Raw genomic sequence first — 10544 nt, 5'->3', positions numbered from 1 at the left:
GTCTCAGTCTGCTCCTGCTGCAATAACAAAATACTTTGGATAGGTAATTTATAAACAACAGAAATTTATTTCTCATGATTCTGGAGGCTGGGAAGTCCAAGATCAGGGTGCCAGCAGATTTAGTGTCTGGTGCCAGGGCTGCTCTCTGCTTCCAAGAGGGCACCTTACTGTGTCTTCGCATGACAGAAGAGATGGAAATGCAAAAGGGACTAGCTAGTTCCCTCAAGCCTTTTTATAAGGGCACTAATCTCATGCATGAGGAAAGAGCCCTTACAACCTAATCTCTGCCTAACAGCCTCACCCCCTAATACCATTGCACAGGGGATTAAGCTTGTATTAGTCTGTTCCCATGCTGCTAAAAAGACATACCTGAGACTGGATAATTTATAAAGGAAAGAGGTTTAATTGACTCACAGTTCCACACGGCTGAGGAGGCCTCAAAATCATGGCAGAAGGCAAATGAGGAGCAAAGTCACGTCTTACATGGTGGCAGGCAATAGAACTTGGGCAGGGAACTCCCATATATAAAACCATCAGATCTCATGAGACTTATCAACTACCATAAGAACTGTATGGGAGAACCAACCCCATGATTCAATTATCTCCACCTGGCCCTGCCCTTGACGCATGCGGATTATTACAATTCAAGGTGAGATTTGGGTGGGGACATAGAAAAATCACATCAAAACTTCAACATAAATTTTGGAGGGACACAAACATTCAAATCATAGCACAAGGTCAATGCTGTCGTGCGATTTAGAGAAAAGTACAGAGAGATACAATAAAGAAATAGACAAGATAATTTCTAATAATGATAAGTGCTGTGAATAAAATAAAACAGTTTAATGTAATGGAACAACATTAGAAAGAGTGTCGTGAAAGGGTTCTCTGAAGAGGTGACACTTGAGCTGAGACTTTCAGGGCCAGCTAGATAAGCAGGACAGGGGGATTCTAGGCTCCTTTCCTTCATCCTAAAGCCTGCTTTGTGGTGTCTGAAATTCCTTTCCCAAAGTTGGAAGAAACAGACTTAAAATGCAAAACATGGTGGAGATCACATTTTAGTGTGAATGAACTTTGTCTGATTTGTAATTGGCCAATCCATTCATCAGTGTGAATGACTGGTTATCATATTCTGTTTTGACTGGGGAGGTGGGGAGAGGAGGGCAGTGATAGGGCTTATGTTAATACTGGTTACAAGCATAGCTCATCAGTGGCCTCCATTGCCTCTTTGCATTCTCTGCTCCTAGCCAGAGTTTCAGGGAGCCCACTACAGTATCTGATGAGTGAAAGAGAAGCAAAGAGAATTTGAGAAAAGATACAGGTATTTCTCTGATGAGGTGGAAGAACTCCCAAAGACGAACTCGGTAAGAGAGGGTCACTTTGCAAATCTTCATCCCTTTAAAATGTTCTTTCTGGTTCTGTGTGGTGGCTCATGCCTGTAATCCCAGTACTTTGGGACATGGAAGTGAGAGGATTGCTTGAGGCCAGTAATTTGAGACCACCCTGGGCAACATGACAAGATCCCATATCTATAAAAAATTTAAAAATTAGCTGGGCATAAAGGTGTGACCTGTAGTCCCAGCTACTCGGGAAGCTGAGGTGGAAAGATCACTTGAGTTCAAGGCTGCAGCGAACTACGATTATGCCACTGTACTCTAGCAAAGGTGACAGAGCAAGATCCTGTGTCTTAAAAAAATTTAAATTACATTAAAAATAAAATAAAATGTTCTTTCCTACCCTTAGGCAGTTTTGCTTGCAGAGTTTATATCAAAATCTTGTTTGGTCCTTTGTTTTTACAAAATTCAGTTCCCAGACATCAGTTAATTAAGATCTTACTGCCCTTATTTTTAATCCCATGCAGCTAGGTACTTAGTAAATGCTCAATAAATGCATGCCACTTAATCTCTTTACTTGGAAATTATGTTCTAGAAATAGCAGTAAATTATTGAGCTGCATTATTACTTTCCTCTCTACTATGGGCTTTTATGCCTCACAAATATTTATGGTTAACCAAAGAAAAGGAGTATCTAATGTGATTTTTTTGGTTTTCTCTGAGTGTATTTTAAAAGTCTGTTTAAATGTATGTGAAAGAAAGATATTTGATTAGAGGGTTTTGCTTGGAAAAATAAGGAGAAAATTTTTTTCATAGGGTCTCATTCACTTTCCACAAATGTTATCACTCTGGACTATAGGAAGAAACAGCTGCAATTGATATTTTGGTCAACCACTAAGAGAGGGACCAGGTTTTGGATAAAGAATTCCTGTCTTCTCTCAAATCCTTGCTAGCTGGGATGAGGAGGCCTGCCATCTACTTATGGAGCAAAGGGGTTTTTGAAAGTCTGAGCCTTTCCTGAGACTTAATGCCTCTGATGTTTCAGGCTGGCTTGTTCTGGAAAACATTGATTGTTTGTATCTACTGAGAACATTGAACATGCCACTCATTCTTTCTTAACTGTTACAAATTAATTGTCACAGAGCCTCTATTTCTATTGTGATCCTTTTCCAACCACTCTCCCCACCCTCCATACGGGTCAGGAAGTTAATTTTTGTTCTGGAAAAATTGTTTTTAGGGAATCACATTTAAACAGTCAGAGACAAGCTATCACAAGGTGATAGCAAGGTTGATGAATTCTGGCTCTGTGACTTTCAATTCCAGTGGCACCACTTGCTGGCTATGGGACCCTGAGCAAGCCAATTAGCCTATCTGAGCCTCAGTGTCTCATCTGTATAATGGGGCCATGGTTATAAAGTGCATGGTTCATTAGGGATTTTGTAAGGACTACGTGAGGGAATGCAAATAAAGCAGTCAGCCTGGTGCCTAACACATAAGAAGCCTTCTGGGCGTGTTGCAATGGTTCCAATCTATTATTGATCATCAACTGTACCACATTGGATGAAATATCTTTAGGAAGGAGATTGTTTCCTTTTTCCCTTTCTAAGACACAAGAGTTAATGAACGTGAAACACTGTGGCTGAAGGGCAATTTAGGAAAGGAAAAAGCCTCCGGATCTCATCATTCTAAACCTCTAAGTTTTATCCACACTTTTCTAAAGCTACTGTTAAGTCACTTGGCATTTCAGTGTAGCATGATATGTAATATTTTAAAAAGCAGAGAGGTTACCAAATGGGGGATTCTGTTACATATTTACATGTAATGTACAGAGAGAAAACCTTTGTTCTTTTTTAGAGGTTTGGTTATCTTCCTGGTTTATAAATCAATTTCCTTTTCCTATTCAAACCCAAACAGTTCACATTCCTGCATAACTTTATGGTTACTGGTGTCTCTGTGGAAACAACCACGTAGGAAGTGGTATTTCCCAGACTAAGAGCTTCACATTCAGTTTTCTTGGCAAGATGAGAGGAGGGTGTTTCAGGTCCATAAACCCCATAATTTTATCATGATCATCAGATAATAAGGATAATAACAGAGTTGTAAAACTTTAGAAGTTGAAGAACATTAGATTCCATCAAGGCCAACCCCCTCATTTTACACATGAGTAGGTACCTTATCCTTGAACCATGTTTTACTCTCCTAAAAGGGTTTTTACACAAATTATGTAATTTCCCTTCCCAGCAACCCTTTGAGGTAGTGAGAGGGTAGGTATTAGCTACCTCTATTTTGTAGACGAAGAAACTGAGGCTTTGGGAGAGTAAATGACTTGCTCACATTATGGAACGACTCAGTTGATGGGCATGTCTACATTTCAAGCTTCCAATTGCCTTGACAGTTCTCTTCATTGCAGCTTGATACATTGCAGGAGTTTGTGTGCCTACTGGGAACATAGATCTAGACCTCAGGTCTCCCAGGCTTGATATCTTTGGTCTTTGAAACTCTGTCATGTGCAGAATAAGATCCAAGCTCCTCAACATGGGATATGAGGCCCTCATGCTTGGCCTTTGCCCTCCTCTTCAGCCTCATCTTCTACCATGCCTAGTTTCCAATTTTTGCTCTAGGGACTCTAAGTGCCTTGGTATTTTCTATTCCTTCAGCTTGAAACACACTTCTAGCTCACTTTTTCACCCTAACCAATTTCCTTTGAGAATGAACTCAGCCGGGCATGGTGGCTCACGCCTGTAATCCTAGCAGTTTGGGAGGCTGAGGTGGGTGGATCACCTGAGGTCAGGAGTTTGAGACCAGCCTGGCCAACATGACAAAACCCTGTCTCTACTAAAAATACAAAATTTAGCCAGGTGTGGTGGTGGGCACATGTAATCCCAGCTACTCGGGAGGCTGAGCAGGAGAATCGCTTGAATGTGGGGGCAGAGGTTGCAGTGAGCTGAGATCACACTGAGATCGCGCCACTTCACTCCAGCCTGGGAGAAAGAGGGAGACTCTCTCTCAAAAAAAAAAAAAAAAAAAAAAGAATGAACTTGAGATACTCATCATTTTTTTTTTTTACTCTTTTGTAATAACGCTTAGCTTAAAACACAAACACAGAACCTGGGGGAGGGGCAGGAGTGTAAAAACAAAACAAGAAAAATACAAACCCATTGTGCAGAGGTACAGGTGTCTTCTTTCTTTATATCCTTATTCTATCAGCTTTTTTTCTATTAAGAACAGTTTTTTAAAACTTTAAAAGCTTTTTTTGTTAAAAATGAAGACACAAACACACACATTAGCCTAGGCCTACACAGGGTCAGGATCATCAATATCACTGTCTTCACCTCCACATCTTGCCTGACTGGAAGGTCTTCTGGGGCAATAACATGCATGGAGCTATCATCTCCTATGATAACAATGCCTTCTTCTGGAATCCCTCCTGAAGGAACTGCCTAAGGCTGTTTTGCAGTTAACTTGTTGTTTTTTTTTTAAATAAGTAGAAGGAGTACACTCTAAAATAACAACAAAAAGTATAGTATAGTGAATACATAAACCAGTAACATAGTCGTTTATTATATTATCAAGTATTATGGTATTATGTACTGTATAGAAATGTATGTGCTCTACTTTTATATGACTGGCAGCAAAGTAGGTTTGTTTACACCAGCATCGCCACAAACCCATGAGTAATGTGTTGTGCTAGATGTTAGGGCAGCTATGACATCATCAGTCGACAGGAATTTCCCAGCTCCATTATATCTTTTGGGAGCACTGTCATATACATGGTCCATCAGTGACTGCAGTGTTATTATGTGACGCCTGACTGTATGATTTTACGCAAACCTGATTGTTCCAGAGGTGGCCATTTTCTCCCGAGAGAGAAGACCAAAGAGATCTAAGAAGACAAGAGACACCATGTGGCTCCAGAGACACCAAGAGGAAAATAAACATAGAAAAGATTTGTCATTGTTCTTGATAACTTTACATTACCTGGTTCCAAACCCTAGTAAAGCTTCCGTGAGCTATGCCTGTATAATCCACAAATTCCCCTCTGGCAGTGGTGTGCTGGTAAAACAGCTCTTAAAAAGCAAACAAACAAATAACAAAGCCTTGATTTGTAGCACTTGCCAGTTTCCAAGATGTAAATACTCCCCCCATGATCTATTTTACGCTATTGTAACATCACTACATGTAGACTTGTGCATATATACTCATCTTTTGTGAGCTTACACGAGCTGGCTCTAGCACACCACTGCCTTAGGTTTAAGTTAAAGTGGGTGGGTTTCTGTCCCTTGATCCAAATGTCCCACTATATATCAAATTAAGGTACCATTGATTGGCTGGTTTATTTATCACCAAAAAAGAAAAACACCACTCTGCCCATTAAACTGTGATATAATGCTTTAAGAACAGTCCTGCTCGTGCATGAAATTAGTGCCACCAGCCTTTGCTCATTTGATACTTCCCTGTGTATATTCCTCTGGGTTTGGCAACTTTCCTGCCTTTAGCTGTGTTGCTTAGTGTGTGATAGACAATTCTTTTTTTTGGTATCTTAGTAACAAAATATAACACAGCTTCACATACTTGTGGGTATCTTCTCTTCTTGATTCTATTAAAATACTTGTGACAAATACACAACTCTGGTCATTCCTCCATAAATATCTGCTTTGTTAATATCCAATGTAAGCTCCTTTATTCCTATACTTTTCTGTGTAGACTTTTTTTTTTTGCTGTAACACCAAACTATATCTAATGTTTTTGAAGATATTTTAAATGGCGATTAAACTCCACTTGCGTAGTACTAATGTTGCAAATAACTCAAATGAATTGATGACAAAATGACCGAATTTACCTGTGTGCAGGTAATGACAATCAGAGCTATGGCAAGTCTCCATCAATTATGGGATGAATCCCAGTTTTAGAGATGTTACAATGTGGAAAAGAAAGTGCATCTCATAATCGGTGAAATATGGTAATCTCTGCTATGGAAAATACCTTGGCTCAGCTATCACCTCCTCCAGGGAGCCTGTCCTAACAATCTTCCAGCACTCCCTCTGAGTTGGGCTCAGTCCCACACCTTGTGTTCCTGTAGCTTCCTGTGTATATCTGTATCTTCCCACTTAGCATGTGGTGGCCTAATTACCTGTTTACCTGAGGAATGTATCTTGGAGAACTCTTTGGGTTCACGGTGCCTGGAACTGTGCCTGGCACATCATATCGGTCCTCAGTAAATGCTTGCTTAATGATTGACTTGTGAATCCTATGAGAGATGGATGATCTTTCGCTTTCAGACCAGCAGTGTGCACACTTCTGAGCAGGACAACCCCTGTCTGTCCAGGGCCTCTTCTGCAGCCAGCCACTCTCAGACCATGCCTACCAATGATATTAAAACACAGCAGTCCACTGTTCCTCTTATTTATACTCTCCCCCATAATCTTCACCTTAGTTCAGGCTGCTATAACAAAAATACCATAGAACCAGTGGCTTAAACAACAACAAAAAAATATTTTTCACAGTTTTGGAGGCTAGAAAGTCCAACATCAAGGTACTGGCCAATTTGGATCCTGGTGAGGGCTCTCTTCCTGGTTTGCAGAGGGCTGCCTTCTTGCTGTTTCCTCATGTGGCAGAGAAACAGGTGATTTCTTTCATATCTCTTATTTAAAAAAAAATTGGCCAGCACGGTGGCTCACGCTTGCAATCCCAGCACTTTGGGAGGCTGAGGTGGGCGGATCATGAGGTCAAGAGATCAAGACCATCCTGGCCAACATGGTGAAGCCCCGTCTCTACTAAAAATACAAAAATTAGCTGGGCATGGTGGCAGGCTCCTGTAATCCCAGCTACTCAGGAGGCTGAGTCAGTAGAATCGCTTGAACCCAGGAGGCGGAGGTTGCAGTGAGCCGAGGTTGTGCCACTGCACTCCAGCCTGGCGATAGAGCAAGACTCCATCTCAAAAAAAATAACAAATAAATAAAATAAAAATAAATAAATAAATAATTAAAAAATTGATTATATATTAGTTGTACGTATTCATATCTCCTCTTTTTGAGACAGGGTCTCACTCTGTCACCCAGCTGGAGTGCAGTGGTGTGATCAGGGCTCACTGCAGCCTCAACCTCCCAGGCTCAAGTGATCCTCCCACCTTAGCTTCCCAAGTAGCTGGGACCACAGGCACATGCTACCACACTCAGCTAACTTAAAAATTTTTTTTTTTTTTTTTTGAGACAGAGTCTTGCTCTGCTGCCAGGCTGGAGTGCAGTGGCGCTATCTTGGCTCACTGCAACCTCTGACACCCTGGTTCAAGCAATTCTCCTGCCTCAGCCTCCTGAGTAGCTGGGATTACAAGCATGTACCACCACACCCAGCTAATTTTTGTATTTTTAGTAGAGATGGGGTTTCACCATGTTGGCCAGGATGGTCTCGATCTCCTGACCTTGTGATCCACGCACCTCAGCCTCCCGAAGTGCTGGGATTACAGGTATGAGCCACCACACCTGGCCAAAAAAATTTTTTTATGGAGAGGAGGGTCTCACTATATTTGCTCAGGCTGGTCTTCAAATCCTGGGCTTAAGTGATCCTCCCACCTCAGCCTCCCGAAGTGCTGGGATTCCAGGTATGAGTCACTGCAGCCGGCCTCATGTCTCTTCTTATAAGGGAACTAATCCCATCATGAGGGCTCATCCTTCACAACCTAATTACCTCCCAAAGGCCCCACCTCTTAATAGTATCACACTGGGAAATAAAGCTTCAATTTATCGACTTTGTGGAGATACAAACATTCAGTCCACAGCACCCATGATGTGAGAAATCAAGTCAAATTAAAATTATAATGGGTAATAATGGCATTGCGATGTACTCCTCCCAGATAGCTCATGACATTTTAGGAGGAAGTTCGAATGAGCTAACTCACAGAAAAGAGCCTTGGGAAGAACTGCAGGCTGCTGTGAGAAAATCTGGAGCCAGCATGCTCTTTTCAAGGTCTACCACTTAAATGGTTGTCTGGGTTCACTTTATGCTCTCATTTGGGGCCACGATGTACCAAGTTAAGTTGTGAGAAAAGCCTGGATCATTTTGGGGCTTCCAATCTTCCCCTTTGGGCTCATTTCTTCCATTTTACATGCTTGGGTTGGGCATGGGACCAGCATCCTGAAAATGCAGGTGGGCTTCCCCAACTTGTGGGGGAGGCCCGAGAGGAAAGCAAGTTTCTCATTCTCAAAACCCAACTCAAGTCACCATGATACCTTTCATGTTTATGGTTTCCTTACATGAGGAAACTACTCAATCTCTTCCAGATCTTAAGTCTTACTTTCCTTCATGAGGTTATCTCATTTCCCTCTATTTATTTTCAAAATCTCCAAAAATAAAAGTTACTTCTAATATTCTCTTTTCTCACAACACTCTTCCTCCACACATTGCTTTAACTTCCATGGTCTAACCTAAAATAGAAAAGTTAAAGAAGGAAATACTAGTTGTCGGTATCAATTAAACAAACAGCAATTTAAAAAATTACAATAAAGATTTTCTGGTTTTGGTGACTTGCACCCTAAAATATTGGAAGGAATATCAAAGGATTGGAAAGTGGGGCTCAGTCCAACTGCTGGTGTCTGGGATTTAATGCTCAGACAGAGGTGGGTGGGGGAACCTCTTCCCTGCTTTGCAAAGGCAGAAATAATTCTCTGGTAACTCTTCTACAGGGAAGCTCTGTGGATAAGAAACCTCAAGAATGAAACACTTAATTATAACCAAACATGGAGCAAACAAAGAAACAAGAACTGAGTTGGGCTGTTTTATATGAATCCTGCCTACGAAAGGAGATTGCTCCTTCCAAGTTTTGTAAGAGATCAGTGACAAGCTGGAATTTTTCATTTCTGGGCTCAGTGAGAAGTTACATTTACAGAACCAACTTCATTTATGTTTTAAAAGCAAATAAGTTTAGGCTTACCACCCTGGTGAGCTCTGAGGCTGTTGAATATTCTGGGAACTTTCATATTGATAGAATATCATGACTGGGGGAAAATATTACAGTCATTTTCCTAACTCTAATAGTTTCCATCCCTAACCTCAAAAAGGAAGGTGAAAAATGATGAATGGGTGTGATGAGGATGTTGTTCCTGAGCCTTTGTTAGCAGTGCTGTGAGTTGTGCCAACGGCAGGGACCCAGGGAAGGGTTGGTGCTCAGTCTCCTCATTCTTTAACCTTGAACTCCTTTGTGTGACCACTTGTGTATATCAGGACTTGATACAACCTGCAGATGTGGAAAAGGGCATTCTTTTATTTTGTATAAGTCCCCTAGTTCATATGAGAAAGTAATGTTTCCTTGGCACTATGATTATAATTCTGATATTTATCAGGTGTCTAGTAGGAGCCAGGCACTTTACAACTATTATTTATAATCCTTATGACTCCCATTACACAGATGTGGAAACTGAGGCTGAAAGAATTCGAATGACTTGACCAAAACAATAGAGCTAGAATACGGCTGAGCCAGACTTTGGGCAAATTCCTCTCTGACTCCAAAACTTACATTCTTTTCTCATGCTATGTTGTCCAGGAAACTTGCCAGCCTACAGTGAAATAAGCTTTAGGTAAAGTATATTGAAAATACAGAAATGAGGCTGGGTGCAGTGGCTTATGCCTGTAATCCCAGCACTTTGGAAGGCCGAGGTGGGCGGATCACTTCAGGTCAGAAGTTTGAGACCAGCCTGGCCAACATGGTGAAACCTTGTCTCTACTAAAATTACAAAAATCAGCCGGGCATGGTGACAGGTGCCTGTAATTTCAGCTACTCTGGAGGCTGAGGCAGGAGAATCACTTGAACCTAGAAGGCAGACATTGCAGCGAACTGAGATGGTGCCACTGCACTCCAGCCTGAGCGACAGAGTAAGACTCTGTCTCAAAAAAACAAAACAAAACAAAACAAAACAAAAAAAACAGAAATGAGGCCAGGTGCAGTGGCTTATGCCTGTAATCCCAGTACTTTAGGAGGCAGAGGCAGGAAGATCACTTGAGGCCAGGAGTTCAAGACCTGCTTGGGCAACAAAGCAAACCCTTGTCTCTACAAAATAAAAAATAAAAAGAAATGAATGAGAATTTTAGAATTCTATCTGACAAATCTTCCCACAGTGTCTCTGGGTAGTCTACAAACCAGTAAAAATAAATTAAAGTTAATTACAAAGGAAAAATGAAGGTAATGTTAGAGACGCAGTCACTTCCGGGTGGATTCAAA

The 10544-nt window shown here is 41.3% G+C and overlaps 1 annotated feature.

Annotated features, from left to right (window-relative positions):
- Positions 9984-10344: a silencer, noted in NCBI's record as "fragment chr5:34621050-34621410 (GRCh37/hg19 assembly coordinates)". NCBI's record gives its function as "represses an EF-1alpha promoter that drives an FKBP-Casp9 reporter gene in an ReSE screen in both phorbol 12-myristate 13-acetate-treated (for megakaryocytic differentiation) and untreated K562 erythroleukemia cells {active_cell/tissue: K562 | K562(+PMA)}" and the evidence as "EXISTENCE:reporter gene assay evidence [ECO:0000049][PMID:32094911]".

This window comes from Homo sapiens, chromosome 5 (genome assembly GCF_000001405.40).
Source record: "Homo sapiens chromosome 5, GRCh38.p14 Primary Assembly".
Taxonomy (NCBI): domain Eukaryota; kingdom Metazoa; phylum Chordata; class Mammalia; order Primates; family Hominidae; genus Homo; species Homo sapiens.
The sequence above is the reverse complement of the archived record's forward strand: the minus strand, read 5'-3'. Positions and strand labels throughout refer to the sequence as shown.